Raw genomic sequence first — 18373 nt, forward strand, 5'->3', positions numbered from 1 at the left:
ACTCTATAAAATCTTGGGATGGGGATGTGCTTCATTTTTTTTTTTTTTTTTTTTTGAGACAGAGTCTTGCTCTGTTGCCCAGGCTGGAGTGCAGTGGCGCCATCTTGGTCTCGATCTCTTGACTTCGTGATGTGCCTGCCTCGGCCTCCCAAAGTGCTGGGATTATAGGAGTGAGCCCCTGCGCCTGGCCTGGGGATGCGCTTCTTAAACAAAATAGCCCAGAATCTATAAAGAAAATATTATTACACAAAAATAAAATCTTTGGGATGAAAAAAGGCAGCATAAACACAAATAATACAGTTGGTAGAAAATATTTGCACCCATACCACCAATTGATGAATTTTCTAATATACAAAGACCTAGTATTGGAAGAAAAAGTTGACAACTCAGTAGAAAAATAGGCAATTGATATAAACAGACAAAAGGCAGACGAGCAATTCTGAATGGTAAATAAGTCTTTTTTTTTTTTTTTTTGAGACAGAGTCTCACTCTGTGAGCCCAGGCTGGAGTGCAGTGGCATGATCTCGGCTCACTGCAAGCTCCGCCTCCCGGGTCCACACCATTCTCCTGCCTCAGCCTCCCGAGTAGCTGGGACTACAGGTGCCCGCCACCATGCCCGGCTAATTTTTTGTATTTTTAGTAGAAACGGGGTTTCACCATGTTAGCCAGGATGGTCTCGATCTCCTGACCTTGTGATCCGCCTGCCTCAGCCTCCCAAAGTGCTGGGATTATAGGCGTGAGCCACCACGCCCAGCCTTCTGAATGGTAAATAAGTCTAATAAAAGCTACCCAGGCAGCCTCCCCACCCCTCCCGCAATGCTCGACCCCAGGATTGCCCCGGCTTGCCTGCCCGCCATGGCCGTCAAGGAAGCAGCCTTCGATGATGGAGTGGAAGACGAGTGATCAACGATGAGTACAAAATACGGAAAAAAAACACCCCTTTTCTTTACCATTTGGTGATGACCCATGCTCTGGAGTGGCCAGCCTAACTGTCCAGTGGCTTCCAGATGAAATCAGACCAGAAGGGAAAGATTTCAGCATTCATCGACTTGTCCTGGGGACACACACATTGGATGAACAAAACCATCTTGTTATAGCCAGTGTGCAACCCCTAATGATAATGCTTAGTTTGACGCGTCACACTACGACAGTGAGAAAGGAGAATTTGGAGGTTTTGGTTCAGTTAGTGGAAACATTGAAATAGAAATCAAGATCAACCATGAAGGAGAAGTAAATAGGGCCCGTTACATGCCGCAGAACTCTTGTATCATCAAAACAAAGACTCCTTCCAGTGATGTTCTTGTCTTTGACTATACAAAATATCCTTCTAAACCAGATCCTTCTGGAGAGTGCAACCCAGACTTGCGTCTCTGTGGACATCAGAAGGAAGGCTATGGGCTTTCATGGAACCCAAATCTCAGTGGGCATTTACTTAGTGCTTCAGATGACCACACTGTCTGCCTGTGGGACATCAGTGCCATTCCAAAGGAGGGAAAAGTGGATGCAAGGACCATCTTTACGGGGCATACAGCAGTAGTAGAAGATGTTTTCTGGAATCTGCTTCATGAGTCTCTGTTTAGGTTAGTTGCTGATGATCAGAAACTTATGATTTGGGATACTCGTTCAAAAAATACTTCCAAACCAAGCCACTCAGTTGATGCTTACACTGCTGAAGTGAACTGCCTCTCTTTCAATCCTTATGGTGAGTTCATTCTTGCTACAGGATCAGCTGACAAGACTGTTGCCTTGTGGGATCTGAGAAATCTGAAACTTAAGGTACATTCCTTTGAGTCACATAAGGATGAAATATTCCAGGTTCAGTGGTCACCTCACAATGAGACTATTTTGGCTTCCAGTGGTACTGATCATGGACTGAATGTCTGGGATTTAAGTAAAATCACAGAGGAACAATCCCCAGAAGATGCAGAAGACAGGCCACCAGAGTTGTTTATTCATGGTGGTCACACTGCCAAGATACCTGATTTCTCCTTGAATCCCAGTGAACCTTGGATGATTTGTTCTGTATCAGAAAACAACATCATGGAAGTGTGGCAAATGGCAGAGAACATTTCTAACGGTGAAGACCCTGAAGGGAGTGTGGATCCAGAAGGACAAGAGTCCCAGACGTATCTTTACTTCTTGTGATTTTAGACTCCCCTTTTTTCTTCTCAATGCTGAGAGTGATTTAACACTGGTTTTGAGACACAAACTTTGTTCAGCTATCCCTCTATATAATAGGTACCACCAATAATACCATTAGCCCTAACAGTGGGTGTTTTCTAAATATTAATGGTGGGGCTTGATTCAGCAAAGCCACAGACTTATTACACTGAAGTTTTCTTCAGGAATTTTCTAGTAACAAAACCAGGTCTAAAGTAGCTACAGAAACGGGAATATTATGTGTGATTATTTTTCTTCTTATGCTATATCCGCAAGTTTTTCAGACTCATTTAAGTAAAGGCTAGAGTGAGTAAGGAACAGAGCCAAATGAGGTAGGTGTCTGAGCCATGAAGTATAAATACTGAAAGATGTCACTTTTATTCAGGAAATAGGGGAGATTCAAGTCATATAGATTCCTACTCGAAAATCTTGATACCTGACTTTCCAGCATGCACATGAAGACCAGTAGACCAGGAAACAGGTAGACGAGTTTCCTCTTGGTTCCTTCAGTTAAGTCAGAACTACACGTTCCTCTTTCCCCATATATTTTTGCTTGTTCGTGTATTTCTTAAGCTGTTTTCATGCTGTTTCTTTCCTTTCTGTGGAATGGTTTTTTTTTTTTTTTTTTAACTTAGGACTACCAAGTTGTAAAGATGTATGTTTTTACCTGACAGTAATACCACAGGTAGACTGTCAAGTTGAGAAGAGTGAATCAATAACTTGTATTTGTTTTAAAAATTAAATTAATCCTTGATAAAAGTTGCTTTTTTTTTTTTGAGATGGAGTCTCGCTCTGTTGCCCAGGCTGGAGTGCAGTGGCGCGATCTCGGCTCACTGCAACCTCCGCCTGCCAGGTTGATGCCATTCTCCTGCCTCAGCCTCCCGAGTAGCTGGGATTACAGGCGCCCGCCACTACGCCCGGCTAGTTTTTTGTATTTTTAGTAGAGATGGGGTTTCACCATGCTAGCCGGGATGGTCTCGATCTCCTGACCTCGTGATCCACCCGTCTCACCCTCCCAAAGTGCTGGGATTACAGGTGTAAGCCACCGCGCCCAGCCTTTTTTTTTTTTTTTTTAGGAGTTAGTCCTTGACCACTAGTTTGATGTTTGATGCATCTCCATTTTGGGTGACCTGTTTTACCAGCAGGCCTGTTACTCTCCATGACGAACTGTGTAAGTGCTTAAAATGGAATAAATTGCTTTTCTACCTTAAAAAAAAAGCTACCCAGTCTCTTTATTCATCAGGAGAAATTAAAACAAAAATGAACTGCCCATTAGATTGGCAAAAATTAGTTGATAAGATTCAGTGTGGGTGAGAGTGTGGGAATAGGCATTCATACAGACACACACAAACACACATATATATGCCTCTTGGGTGTATGAATTAGGGGTGGGTGTATGAATTAGGAGCATGAATTGCTACAATTTTGGGGGAAGAAACATAGTAATATCTACAAATATTAAAATTATGTATCCTTTGGCCAGGGGCTGTGACTCATGCCTGTAATCCCAGCACTCTGGGAGGCCGCGGGGCGGAGGGGGTGGGGTGTAGATTGCTTGAGGTCAGGAGTTTGAGACCAGCCTGGCCAACATGGTGAAACCCTGTCTCTACTTTACTAAAAATACAAAAATTAGCCAGGTGTGGTGGTGTGCACCTGTAGTCCCAGCTACTTGGGAAGCTGAGGCAGGAGAATCACTTGAACCCGGAGGCAGAGGTTGCAGTGAGCTGATATCTCGCCATTGCACTCCAGCCTGGGTGACAGAGTGAGACTCCGTCTCAAAAAATAAATAAAAAGTCAAAGGCATATACATTGTTCTGCACCTTACTTTTTCAGTTAAGTATATGTCTTAATTTTTTTATTTTTATTTATTTATTTATTTATTTATTTAATTATTTTTGACACAGGGTCTTGCTCCGTCACCCAGGCTGGAGTTCAGTGGTACAATTTCAGTTCACTGCAGCCTCTGCCTCCTGGGCTGCAATCCTCCCACCTCAGCCTCCAGAGTAGCTGGGACTACAGGTGTGCGCCACCACACCTGGCTAATTTCTTTGTATGTTTTGTAGAGATGGGGTTTTGCCATGTTGCCCAGGCTGGGTTCCAACTCCTGAGCTCAAGTAATCTGCCCGCCTTGGCCTCCCAAAGTGTGAGACCCTGTACATGGACTGCTGATTTATAAATCTGTGAGCTAATAAATTGGATATTGTTTCTTTTTTCTTTTTTTGAGACGGAGTTTGGCTCTTGTTGCCTAGGCTGGAGTGCAATGGTGCGATCTCAGCTCACTGCAACCTCCGCCTCCCGGGTTCAAGCGATTCTCCTGCTTCAGCCTCCCAGGCGTGCGCCATCATGTCTGGGTAATTTTGTATTTTTGGTAAAGATGCAGTTTCTCCATGTTGGTTAGGCTGGTCTCGAACTCCCGACCTCAGGTGATCCACCCGCCTTGGCCTCCCAAAGTGCTGGGATTACAGGCGTGAGCCACTGCGCCCGGCTGGATGTTGTTTAAGGCGCTAAATTTCTGCTGCTAACACATTGCCTATTATGTTAGATTAAATCCAAACTTCCTACATAGTTTCTGAGGCTTTACAATATCTACCCTTCACGTGTAGTATGGTCATGTAACCTCTCCCCCATATACTACCTTTCACCAACACTAGCTTTCCTTTCAAACATGCCAAGCTTTTTTTTTTCTTTTCCATCCTAGAGCCTTGTATTAGCTTTTCCCTCTATTTTTCCTGAGATTCTTGTGGCTATGGCTTTGAAAAAGTATTTTTTATTTTTATTTTTATTTTTTTGAGACGGAGTCTCGGTCTGTCGCCTAGGCTGGAGTGCAGTGATATCTCGGCTCACTGCAACCTCTGCCTCCCGGGTTCACGCGATTCTCCTTCCTCAGCCTCCTGAGTAGCTGAAATTACAAGCACGTGCCACTACGCCTGGCTAAATTTTTTTTTTTTTGAGATGGAGTTTCGAGCCCAGGCTGGAGTACAATGGCGTAATCTCAGCTCACCGCAACCTCTGCCTCCCGGGTTCAAGTGATTCTCCTGCCTCAGCCTCCTGAGTAGCTGGGATTACAGGCATGCGCCACCATGCCCGGCTAATTTTGTATTTTTAGTAGACACACGGTTTCTCTATGTTGGTCAGGCTGATCTCAAACTCCTGACCCCAGGTGTTCCGCCCTCCTCGGCCTCCCAAAGTGCTGGGATTATAGGCGTGAGCCACCATGCCCGGTCAACGCCTGGCTAATTTTTGTATTTTTAGTAAAGACGAGGTTTTGCCATGTTGGCCAGGCTGGTCTCAAACTCCTGACCTCAGGTGATCTGCCCTCCTCAGCCTCCCAAAGTACTGGGATTACAGGCATGAGCCACCATGCCTGGCCCCAGAAATAGTAATTTTTAAAAAATTGCTTTTTAAGAAAATTTTATTTCAATAGTTTTTGGAGTACAGGTGGTTTTTGGTTACATGGATAAGTTCTTTAGTGGTGATTTCTGAGATTTTGGTGCACCCATAACCCAAGCAGTGTACACTGTACCCAATATGTAGTCTTTTATCTTTCACCCCTGTGTTAGTCAGGGGTCTCTTTGTTTTTTTTTTTTTTATTTTTTTATTTTTTTGAGACGGAGTCTCACTCTGTCGCCCAGGCTGGAGTGCAGTGGTGCGATCTCGGCTCACTGCAACCTCCGCCTCCCAGGTTCACGCCATTCTCCTGCCTCAGCCTCTCTGAGTAGCTGGGACTACAGGCGCCCGCCACCACACCCGGCTAATTTTTTTGTATTTTTAGTAGAGACGGGGTTTCACCGTGGTCTCGATCTCCTGACCTCGTGATCCGCTTGCCTCAGCATCCCAAAGTGCTGGGATTACAAGCGTGAGCCACCGCGCCCAGCGTTAGGGTTTTCTAGACGGACAGAACTAATGGGAAAAAAATATATATATATTTATATATATATAAAGGGGAGTTTATTAAGTATTCACTCACATGGTCACAAGGTCCCACAATAGGCCATCTGCAGGCTGAGGAGCAAGGAGAGCCAGTCCAAGTTCCAAAACTGAAGAACTTGGAGTTTTATGTTTGAGGGTAGGATGGTTCCAGCACAGGAGAAACATGTAGGCTGGGAGGCTAGGCCAGTCTTTCTTTTCACATTTTTCTGCCTGCTTATATTCTAGCCTCGCCGGCAGCTGATTAGGTTGCGCCTGCCCAGATTAAGGGTGGATCTGCCTTTCCCAGCCTTCAAATGTTAATCTCTTTTGGCAACACCCTCACAGGCACACCCAGGATCAATACTTTGTATCCTTCAATCCAATCAAGTTGACACTCAATATTGACACTCAATATTAAATATCAAATATAATATTGGGAAATATCATATTGAACTCTACGTTTTGGTGTGGGAGAATTTATTACTGAGACATTGGAAAATACACTATTGCATTCTTTCTTCTGGATTGTTTAATGTGGTTTAGTTTGTGAGAATTTGGTCTCATTCTCTACTCTTGCAGTGGCTGAGAGTTATCTTGAGAGGATACTAAGGAACTGTTAGAAAGTTAGTATTTTACCTTAAACTGTGTTTGATCATACAGTATGGCTATATAAAAGAGAAAAAACAAGAAGAAAAGAAAAAAGTTACCGAAGCCTAAACATTATAATAAATTCTAATTGTGGCAGCTTCCCTAGTGGGAGAAAGACACTTTCAAACCTCACTCGGAGTTCTTGGGCTTCTGAGCATTCTTTTCAGGGCCAGCTTCACCTCTTGGTTCCGCAGAGTGTAGATAAGGGGGTTGAGGAAAGGAGTGATGGCCGTGGGGACTAGGGCAGCTGCCCCATCCAGGGGGCTGTTGGTTTCAGGCCTCAGGTAGATGAAGGCACAGGGCACATAGTACACGGTGACCACGGTTACATGGGCTCCACAAGTTGAAAAAGCCCGGCGCCGCCCATCAGCTGTGTGGATTCTCAGGATGGCCTGAATGATCTGTATGTAGGAGAGGAGGATCAGGGAGAAGCAACTGGCAACCACCACCCCAATGTCTACAAACGTCACCAGCTCGTTGACTGTTGTGTCAGCACAGGCCAGTCTCAACACTGCAGGGATGTCACAGAAGAAGTAATCCACCTGATTGGGCCCACAGTAGGGCAGGCGGAAGGTTAGGATGGCCTGGAGAGCCCCATGGATGGATCCTGCCATCCAGGCTCCAGCCACAAGCAAGGCGCTCAGCTTAGCAGTCATGAGCACAGGGTAGCGCAGGGGCTGACATATTGCCAGGTACCTGTCATAGGCCATTAGGGTGTAGAGGAAGCACTGGGTGCTGCCCAGGAAGTGATAGAAATAGAGTTGAGCAACACAGCCACCAAATGGGATGGGTTTGACACCTAAAGTGAAGTTCATCATGAGGCGAGGGACAATGATGGAGGAGATGCTCATATCAATGACTGAGAGAACACCAAGAAAGATGTACATGGGGCGGGCATGGAGCCTTGGGTCTGCCCAGACAGTGATTAAAATAAGCAGGTTTCCCAGCTGAGTCAGGATGTAGATTAGAAAAAAGAACACAAAAAAGAGTGTCCTTAGCCTGAGTGGATACGGAATTCCTGTCAGGATAAACGCAGTCAACAGTGTGCTGTTGATTCTTTCCATATCCCAGAGAATCTTACCTAGAGAATGGACAAAACAAGAATTAACATAGAGGTGAGAGGAAAGTGAGGGGGAACTAGAAAGAGATTGTAAAAACTAGGGGCAGTGGCAGAGAAGTTTCTTTCTTACGTGGAAAGATGACAAGTAGGGAGAAACAATGTTCTCTGGCAGGTGTTTTGTAAACAAGATCTTATTGGAACACAGCCTTGCTCATTTACTTACATATTGTCCGTAACTGTTTTGGAGCTACTATGACAGAGATGAGTGGTTGCATTTAGCTTGCAAAACATAAACTATTTACTCCCTGGACATTTATAGAAAAAGTTTGCACCGAGGGTTTTGTACTTAGAGCACTTTTTCCAATAACCTTTGGAAAATAATCATTGACTGTTGTGTTAGTACAGGCCAGGATTTCCTGGAAACATGATATATGTGAGAAAGGGTATTTGTTTCATTAGGTGCTCTGCCCGCTCAGAATCTTCCAGAGGCCACTGGCTCACTCTTATCTCTGCCAGGACATAAACTTACATAGAGTGGGGAATATGCAGAAAGGAAATGCAGAAAATAAGTGGCTGATTTTTATGTGTGACAGTGCTTGATGCTGTACAGATCTACTTTCCAAGTTCTTTACCATTAAAAGGAAGAGAATGACCATGAAGCTGTAAGTACATAAATAAAGTGAGGACTATCGCCACTATGCACTGTGGTTGGTACTTGGTGCTATATAATTCAGTTGCTTTGCATGTGATCATTTAGCCTTAAGACACAGTAAAGAGAGGAGAGAAAGAAGAAATGAGGGCTGGCTCTAGTGAGAAGTCAGAGATTTAAGGAAAATTAAAGGATGATTGGAGAGAATGAGAGGATTGCTAGACCAGAACAAACCACTCTCAGTGTGGAAGAATTATTTTAAGTTCTTAGTCCAACTCCTTGATTCGCATTTCTTTTTTTTTTTGAGACAGAGTTCTCTCTGTCACACAGCCTGGAGTGCAATAGCATGATCTCAGCTCACTGAAACCTCTGCCTCTCAGGTTTAAGCAATTCTCATGCCTCAGTGTCCGGGTAGCTGGGATTACAGGCATATGCTACCATGCCTGGCTAATTTTTGTATTTTTAGTAGAGACGGGGTTTCACCATGTTGGCCAGGCTGATCTTGAACTCCTGGCCTCAAGTGATCTGCCTGCCTTGGTCTCCCAAAGTGTTGGGATTACAGGCATGAGTCACCACACCCAGCTTACTTGGCATTTTTTAACCTAAAGAAAAGGGTTGGCGGGTGGGCTCGGTGGCTTATGCCTGTAATCCTAGCACTTTGAGAGGCCGAGGAGGGTGGATCACCTGAGGTCAGGAGTTCAAGACTAGCCTGAACAACATGGTGAAACCCTGCCTCTGCTAAAAATACAAAAATTAGCCAGGCACGGTGGTGGGCACCTATAATCCCAGCTACTCGGGAGGCTGAGGCAGGAGAATCACTTGAACCCAGGGGGTGGAGGTGAGCTGAGATTGCACCACTTCACTCCAGCCTGGGCAAAAGAGTGAAACTCCATCTCAAAAAAAAAAAAAAAAAAAAAAAAAAAAAAAGGCCAGGTGTGGTGGCTCACGCCTGTAATCCCAGCACTTTGGGAAGCCGAGGCAGATGGATCACAAGGTCAGGAATTCGAGACCAGTCTGGCCAATATGGTGAAACCCCATCTCTACTAAAAATACAAAAATTAGCCAGGTGTGGTCGTGGGTGCCTGTACTCCCAGCTACTTGGGAGGCTGAGGCAGGAGAATTGCTTGAACCTGAGAGGCAGAGGCTGCAATGAGCAGAGATTGCACGGCTGTACTCCAGCCTGGGTGACAGAGCGAGACTCCATCTCAAACAAACAAACAAAAAAAAAAAAAAAAAAAAAAAGAAGGAAAAGGGTTGGAATAATGAGCTTTTAAAATTCCTTCTAGTCCTATAATTTTCAGATATCTAAATTCATGGCTTGGAAACTTTTTTGAAAATTAACTGACCTTAAATGGATGGGTTGATTTCTGGGCTCTGTATTCTGTCATTGGTTGATGTGTTTGTTTTTATGCCAGTGCCATGCTGTTTTGATAACTATAACTTTATAATATATTTTAAGATAAGATAATATGATGCCTGTGGCTTTTTCTGTGTGTGTGCAAGACTGCTTTGGCTATTTGGTATCTTTTTGTTCCACAATGGGGAAAGGACAGTCTCTTCAATAAATGGTGTTGGGAAAACTGGATATCCATATGCAAAAGAATGAAATTGGACCTTTATCTCACACCATTAGCAAAAATCAGCTCAAAATGAATTAAAGACTTAAACATAAGACCTGAAATTGTAAAACTACTGGAAGAAAACGGGAAAAGTTCTACCACATTTGTCTGCAAAATGTCATATATATTCAACAGAATACTATTCAGCCCTAGAAAAGAAGGAAATCCTGTCATTTGTGACAATATGAATGAACCTGGAAGACATTATATTAAGCAAAATAAGCCAGGCATGGAAAGACAATATTGCATGATCTCACTTATATGTGGAATCTAAAAAAAATTGGACTTACAAAAGAAAAAAAGAGAATGGTGGTTACTAGATGCCGGGGATGGGAATGCGGATGGGGAATGCAGAGATGTTGATCAAAAGGTACAAAGTTTCAGCTGGGTGCAGTGGCTCACGCCTGTAATCCCAGCACTTTGGGAGGCCAAGGCAGGCAGATCACTTGAGGTCAGGAGTTTGAGACCAGCCTGGCCAACATGGTGAAACCCTGTCCTTGCTAAAATAAAAAAATTAGCCCAGTGTGGTGGCATGCACCTGTAATCCCAGCTACTCAGGAGGTCGAGGCGGCAGAATTGCTTGAACCCAGGAGGTGGAGGTTGTAGTGAGCTGAGATTGTGCCACTGCACTCCAGCCTGGGTGACAGAGCAAGACTCTGTCTCAAAAAAAAAAAAGTACGAAGTTTCAGTTAGACAGGAAAAGTGAGTTTTCAGGACCTATTGAACAGCATGGTGACCATAGTTAATAATAATATATATTTCAGATTGCTAAAAGAGCTTATTTTAAGTGTTCTTACTACAAAAAAAGACAAGTATGTGAGGCAATGGATATGTTAGTTTGATACAATCATTCTACAATGTATATGCATCTATCAAAACATCACATTTTTAATTTAACTATTATTTATTGATTAAAAATAAAAGTTTAAATAAAACAGGCTTGATGAAAATTTTTACTGAAAAATACTCATGACTTGAGGTAGGATGTCAAAAAAATTGAAATTGATTGATTTGGCTGGGCGCGGTGGCTGACGCCTGTAATCCCAGCACTTTGGGAGGCTGAGGCAGGCGGATCACGAGGTCAGGAGATGGAGACCATCCTGGCTAACACGGTGAAACCCCGTCTCTACTAAAAATACAAAAAATTAGTCGGGCGTGATGGTGGGCACCTGTAGTCCCAGCTACTGGGGAGGCTGAGGCAGGAGAATGGCATGTACCGGGGAGGCGGAGCTTCCAGTGAGCGGAGATTGAGCCACTGTACTCCAGCCTGGGCCACAGAGCAAGACTCCATCTCAAAAAAAAAAAAAAAAAAAAAAGAAATTGATTGATTTTTTTTTCTCTGGACTGATTTCCATCCACTCAGAAGGAGGAGAGTAAGATTAACAGGGAAATGTCAGGAGCTTTCTGATTAATGATTCTCTCTACCTTCACTCCTGTGCAGGGCAGCATTCTGCCTTGCTTGGGTCAGGGGACTGTGGAGAGCAGGGAACTGGCAACTCTGGTGAAGAAGTAAGTCATCGTAGACAGATGGTCCTGCTGCTGGCTGAGAGCAACAAATGTAAACATTATAATGGATCTCAATCGTTAGGTTGCCATCATAATGGATCTGGTCATTAGTTCACTTCTTGGTTCTGAGCGAGTCTCAAAGCTCCTCTGGGACTGGGTGTGGTGGCTTATGCCTGTAATCCCAGCACTTTGGAAGGCTGAGGCAGAAGGATTGCTTAAGCCCAGGAGTTTGAGACAAACCTGGGCAACATAGCAAGACCCTATTTCTATAAAAAAAATAAAAAAAATTTACTGGGCGTATTGGCACGCACCTGTGTTCCCAGCTACTTGGGAGGCTGAGATGGGAGGATTTCTTGAGCCCAGAAGGTCAAGGTGAACCACTGCCCTCCAGCCTGGGTGATAGAGTGAGAGACCCTGTCTTAAAACAAAAACACAAACAACATACAAAAAAGCCAACTCCTCTGGGTTTCAATTTCTTCACTGGGGCTATGAGGATGCGGAATGAGACTGTGGATCCAATTTTGACAAATAGTGAAAAACAAGGGATAGTTACATTCAAGTCTTTTTTGTTTTATTTTGTTTTTTGAGACAGAGTCTTGCTCTGTCGCCCAGGCTGGAGTGCAGTGGTGCGATCTCGGCTCACTGCAACATCCGCCTCCCGGGTTCTCGCCATTCTCCCGCCTCAGCCTCCTAAGTAGCTGGGACTACAGGAGCCCGCCACCACACCCAGCTAATTTTTTGTATTTTTAGTAGAGACAGGGTTTCACCGTGTTAGCCAGGATGGTCTCGATCTCCTGACCTCATGATCTGCCCGCCTCGGCCTCCCAAAGTGCTGGGATTACAGGCGTGAGCCACTGTGCCTGGCCTCAAGTCTTTTTTTTTTTGAGATGGAGTCTTGCTCTGTCACCCAGGCTGGAGGGCAGTGGCACGATCTCAGCTCACTGCAACCTCTGCCTCCTGGGTTCAAGCAATTCTCCTGCCTTAGCCTCCTGAGTAGCTGGGATTACAGGCATGCGCCACCATGCCCGGCTAATTTTTGTATTTGTAGTAGAGATGGGGTTTCACCATGTTGGCCAAGCTGGTCTCGAACCCCTGACCTCATGATCTGCTCGCCTCGGCCTCCCAAAGTACTGGGATTACAGGCGTGGGCCACTGCCCTCGGCTCAATAGTCTTTACATTAAACACTTAGCTTTAAAACTGCTGTACCCAAGCTCTTTCAGAGCTTAGCTCTCATCATTTAACCATCTCTGTTATGAAACTTAAAAAAAAGGCAGTAAATCCCGCCACCCCATGCCATTTTATCCTCTTTCAAGTCAATAAAATGCAGTTTATAAATTCTTCAGTTTTAAACATTATAGCCACAGGATCACAGCGATGGCTGAACTTCAAAAAGCTGACCGCAATCCTCTTCCAGATGCCAGAGCTACAGATGCTGGCCTCCTCCCCGCGTTCCTTGACTTCAGAAAGTACAGAGGCTCAAGTTCCCACACAGGTTCCTTGGGAAATTCATGGCAGTGCACAATGGTAGCCCTGGGCTGAAGGAGCTCAGGTGGCTGCTCTGGTCTGTGTGTCGTGTCATGGGATGCTATAGTTTTCTGGGGTCACTGAGGTCTGTTGTTAAAGTGTCCAGATTTAGAAGCCTGATTTGGTTAGGTCTCTCTGGGGGAATCAGGCTGAGGGAAATCAGTTCACACTATTCAAGTACCTGAGAGAATGACTTAAAAACTAAACAAATAATTTATTACTTTACAGTGGGAGATCTTGCTCCCATGTCTGAAATGATGTGTCTACTGCCCAGGGCACCCACGTATTAATACTTCATGGTCCCTGGAAATGAAATTAGGAATCAAATGTGTAATTCTGAGTTTTGAATCACAGCAAGGGGAATTTCATGAAGCACACTTAAGTTAGGTCACAGTGAACTACACCTGGTAAATCACACAGCATCTGTATCTAAGGGAATACTTCAATTTTCCCTTCAGATACAGTTATCTTTTTCCCTTGGGCAGTAACGAAGATACATCAACAAAGTTTTATTCTAATTATTTTCTCCCTGAATTTCTATCTTTTTAGATTGCCTTTGTTATTTCCATTGGCTCTTTTTCAACATTTTTCTAACTTTTTAGAGTTCCCTAATTATTTTTCCCTGATTTATTTTTCATACTGTTTTCTTGTTTGCTTTGGAGAATATTCTAAGATTTACTCCCTAAAAAGTGTTATTTCTTTTGCAAAATTTTCCATTGATAGGGAATGACAGTCCACCCATAGCATGATGATTCTTGTTTTATTCAACCAGAGAATAGAATTTTCTAACTTTGTCCTTAGATTTCAGAACCATCTTAAAGGGAGGAATGAGAGGAAAGAGTGCAGTTTTATTTGTAATACCGAGTATCTTTATTGGGTGTGATTTCATCCCAGTTACCTCTTTTTGTTTTCTTCTTTTTGTTTCTCTAACTTTTTGCTCCTCAGTAAGTTATAAATATTAATAGAAAAACTTCCCTTTACCTCTGATCTGTTAAGACCTTTCTCCCTGTGTCACTGCCATTATCATAAACCTCCAAGCATAAAGCTTAGTATTTGCCAGGTAACCACCCTTCTGCATACTCTCTGGCTCATTAATATCCCACATGTGGTTCTGAGACACTTTATTTAAATGCTTTCAAAAATAAAAGAGAGAGAGAGAGAGAGATACGGAGGGACAGAAAGAGACATGGAGGGAGAGAAAGAGACATGGCACAAGGAGAAGGAAACATGGCACCGATGAAACCTCCGGGGACCAGAGTGATAAAAAGTCATAGAATAATGGTGGCATTTTGCACCTGTGTAGTGTTTTTTAATCCTTAGAGGTTAAATGGCAGAGGAGTCTCACAGCTGTATAATGCTGGAGTAAAGGCTCCAACCAGATTGTGTTGTTCCTAGTCCAGCACTCTTTCCACATTTTACTGAAAATTCCTTCCCACAAGGAACCAAATCAAAATAATGTAGTAAATCATGTGAACTGAATCACAATTTTAAGAGTTTTATGGTTCATTCTGTCAAGGATTCTAAACTGGTGTTACTACCCTATTTCAAAATTGAGACATAGTGGAGTTAAGAGCAAGTTCTAAAATCAAACTAGAGTGAAGTTTAGTTACAATGAATTCATGAAGTTGCCCGACTTCTTTCATTGACAATCTATCACACTGAGTGTTTCTTAAAAAAGCCCGAGGGAGGCCGGGCGCGGTGGCTCACGCCTGTAATCCCAGCATTTTGGGAGGCCGAGGCGGGCAGATCACCTGAGGTCGGGTGATCAGCCTGACCAACGTGAAGAAACCCCGTCTCTACTAAAAATACAAAATTAGTGTGGTGTGGTGGCACATGCCTGTAATCCCAGCTACTCAGGAGGCTGAGGCAGGAGAATCGCTGGAACCTGGGAGGCTGAGATTACAGTGAACTGAGAGCACACCATTGCGTTCCAGTCTGGGCAACAAGAGCAAAACTCCAACTCAAAAAAAAAGAAAAAAGCCTGAAGGCTTAGTAGTGTTTTTATTTCACAGATACTTAGTCTTTGAATATATTGATTAAATGTGTTTTTGAATTCTCATCTGATATCAAATATTAAAGACCATCTAGAGGCCGGTCGCGGTGGCTCATGCCCGTAATCCTAACACTTTGGGAGGCCAAGGCTGGTGGATCACCTGATGTCAGGAGTTTGAGACCAGTGTGGCCAACATGGTGAAACCTCGTCTCTACTAAAAATACAAAAATTAGCTGGGCATAGTGGTATGAGCCTGTAATCCCAGCTACACAGGAGGCTGAGGCAGGAGAGTAGCTTGAACCCGGAAGGCAGAGGTTGCAGTGACTTGAGATCGTGCGATTGCACTCCAGCCTGGGCAACAAGAATGAAACTCCATCTCAAAATAAATAAATAAATAATAAATAAACAAAATAAAATAAAGACCATCTAGTACATGAATGTTTGAAAAATATATGAGAAATATTAGGGGACCACAAACTAAATAAAAGTGTATAATTTTGAGCAACCAAGGAGATTAGACATCTTTTCTAATGAGGCGAAGGGCACAGGCTTAACCTCATTTCAGCAAATGAATTTTACTTAATTCTGGTCCCAAACTGTATCCCTAACCCATCTTTCAAATGGCCATGAAGAAAACTTTAAAAATTTTATTATTTTCTGAAAATCGACTCAAAGCACACTTTTTTATTTATAAAAAGCATTTCAAATATTTGGAAAACTAATATAATTAATTTCTTTTTAAAATAAATTTCACAATAAGACATATAAAATGGAAAATAATTTAAAGATGAATAACAATGGAACAAATATATACATATATAATATGAGAAAAGTTTGAGTTATTAAATTGAGAGACATGAGACAATTTCTATTAAAATGTAAAACCCTTATTAGCAATGAGTTAGAATTGTCTGTTTAAAATATTTGCCAACAAAGAAATCAGGTTATAGCTTTACTCATGTCCATTTTTCAAATTTTGGGCAGAGAACTTGTCTTATAGGTGGAAGGGACCTGGTGAGGACAAAAAGAACAGAGCAAGGGTGGCACCACCACAGAACTCGAAGATGCTCTTCCTAGTCTGGTTGGTATTAAAACCAGTGAATGGACTTTTAATGGAGAATAGCTTTGGAGAAAAATTTAGCCAATTAAAGGCCTGGGGGAAATAGTGTTATCCAATATTAGCCACTATTTTTTAATTTTTTAATTTTTTTAATTTTAATTTTTATTTTTGAGATGGAGTCTCTCTCTGTTGCCCAGGCTGGAATGCAGTTGTGCCATCTTGGCTCACTGCAACCTCCATCTCTCAGGTTCAAGTGATTCTCCTGCCTCAGCCTCCCAAGTAGCTGGGATTACAGGCGTGTACCACCACCCCCAGCTAATTTTTGTATTTTTAGTAGAGATGGGGTTTTACCATGTTGGTTAGGCTGGTCTTGAACTCCTGACCTCAGGTGATCCGCCCGTCTTGGCATCCCAAAGTGCTGGGATTACAGGTGTGAGCCAACATGCTTGGCCTATTAGCCACTATTTATAAAAAGGCTAAATGGTAGTTACATAGTCATATGAGCAGAACAGCAAAGAAAATTTTTGTGACAGCAGAAAAAGAACTATACTGAGTAACTAAACAAGTAAGAATATTGAGAGATGAAGTGACTCAGAGTAGAGAAACCCCTTACACAATGTTTGGACTTAACATTTATCTCTGAAAAATGGGATTAGAACAGTGGCAGGTGCTATTTTGAGAAGAGGAACTCACCTGAAGGTGTCAGCATCCATCAAAAACTCTTCTTGCAGACGGAGAGAAAGGATACAAATCTATTCCTAAGGAATCTTGAATATCTCATAGGTCAGCAGCAATTATTGTGAAGAGCTCGTGGCAGAAGACCCAACTAATTACTTTTGGCTGGATCAAAGTAAAGAGTCAAACTATGGAAACTTAATTTATTATTTGCCTGCTTATTTGTAGAGATATCTGCTTCCAGCTTCCTTATGAACTGGGGGAGGAGCTGTGGCTCTTACTGAAGATAACTGTTAAGGTTGGTCTCTCCTGTGTTCTACTACTTCTTCTATTTCCCTCAGAGTCAGTTTTTATGTGTGAGACCTTTAGCTTGGGGAATATTGTAATAGCACTCCTGTGATAGGCAAGACCAATATCCATAGTTTGTTTCCTAGGAGACTCTCTGGGTTTCTAGCTTTTTCCAATTTTGTAACAGCAGGTGCGACAAAGTCTGTGGGGCTTAACAGGTCTCGTTGAAATCTTCAGATCTGTGGTTTTCTTTCTGTTCCAAAGCAAATTTGGAAAAAAAGAGAAGAAAAAGCTAACATGGTTGTTACTTGGCAAGAGATGTGTTCTTATTGGTGCATTCACATTTTAAGAAATTCACACTTTGAATTACTAAGGTGCTAACATAGACCTTCACAGACTAGAAGAAACAGAATTTCAGGGTTGGAGGGACATTAGAGGTCATCTGATCCAACTATCATCTGTAATGTTTTAAGTCAAGCTCCCTGAACAGTGATTTTTCTTTTTTAATTTTACAATTTTATTTATTTATTTATTTTTTGAGACAGGGTCTTGCTCTGTCGCTCAGGCTGGAGTGCAGCGACGTGATCACGGCTCACTGCAGCCTCATCCTCCTAGGCTCAAGCGATTCTTCCACCTCAGCCTCCCAAGTGGCTGGGACTACAGGCACATACCACCACACCTGACTAATTTTTAAATTTTTCGTAGAGACGAGGTCTCACTAGATTGCTCAGGCTGGTCTTGAACTCCTGGGCTCAAGTGATCCTCCTCCCTCTACCTCCCAAAATGCTGGGACTACAGGTGCAAGCCACTGCCCCCGGCCTGTTATTTTTCTTAGTATTTCTTGGTCTTGTTTCCTTGAATACTTTGAATTTGGTCTAACTTATTTTCTTCTAGACTTAAATTTGGTGTTGTCGCAACATTTTTCCCAACTGTCTTCAAATGTCCAGAGATGGTCTGTGTTGTAAAAGAACATCTTGAATATGGTTTAGTTTTATTATTTTTTCCACCAAACTTTTGTGGAGGTCTCTGTAGCTTCCAAGCCACAATTGTGTTAAAGTGTCTAAAGCAGAGGAAAGCACACTTTCTCTCTAAAGAGGCAGATAATAAATGTTTTTGGCCTTGAGGACCATACAGTCTCTGTTGCAGCTACTCAACTCTGCCATTGTATGGGAAAGCAGCCATAAAATACACATACAAATGGGCATGGGTTTTTTTTTTTTTTGAAACGGAGTCTCACTCTGTTGCCCAGGCTGGAGTGCAGTGGTGTGATCACGGCTCACT

At 42.9% G+C, this 18373-nt stretch overlaps 1 protein-coding gene and 1 pseudogene across 1 annotated transcript; one reads left to right on the forward strand and one right to left on the reverse strand.

Annotated features, from left to right (window-relative positions):
• RBBP4P5 (RBBP4 pseudogene 5) lies at window positions 794-3368 on the forward strand (annotated as a pseudogene).
• On the reverse strand, window positions 5557-17113 carry OR10G3 (olfactory receptor family 10 subfamily G member 3). The gene is made up of 2 exons (NM_001005465.2): window positions 16823-17113; window positions 5557-7798 (listed from the first exon to the last, which is right to left on the reverse strand). The coding sequence occupies exon 2, from the start codon at window positions 7779-7781 to the stop codon at window positions 6840-6842; it is 942 nt and encodes a 313-aa protein (NP_001005465.1). The 5' UTR covers window positions 7782-7798; window positions 16823-17113; the 3' UTR covers window positions 5557-6839.
• Between the last annotated feature and the right edge of the window lie 1260 nt (window positions 17114-18373).

This window comes from Homo sapiens, chromosome 14 (assembly GCF_000001405.40).
Source record: "Homo sapiens chromosome 14, GRCh38.p14 Primary Assembly".
NCBI lineage: Eukaryota > Metazoa > Chordata > Mammalia > Primates > Hominidae > Homo > Homo sapiens.

Excerpts from the sequence above, each read along its gene's own strand:
- OR10G3 (NM_001005465.2), bottom strand. The coding sequence starts at position 7,781 with ATGGAAAGAATCAACAGCACACTGTTGACTGCGTTTATCCTGACAGGA.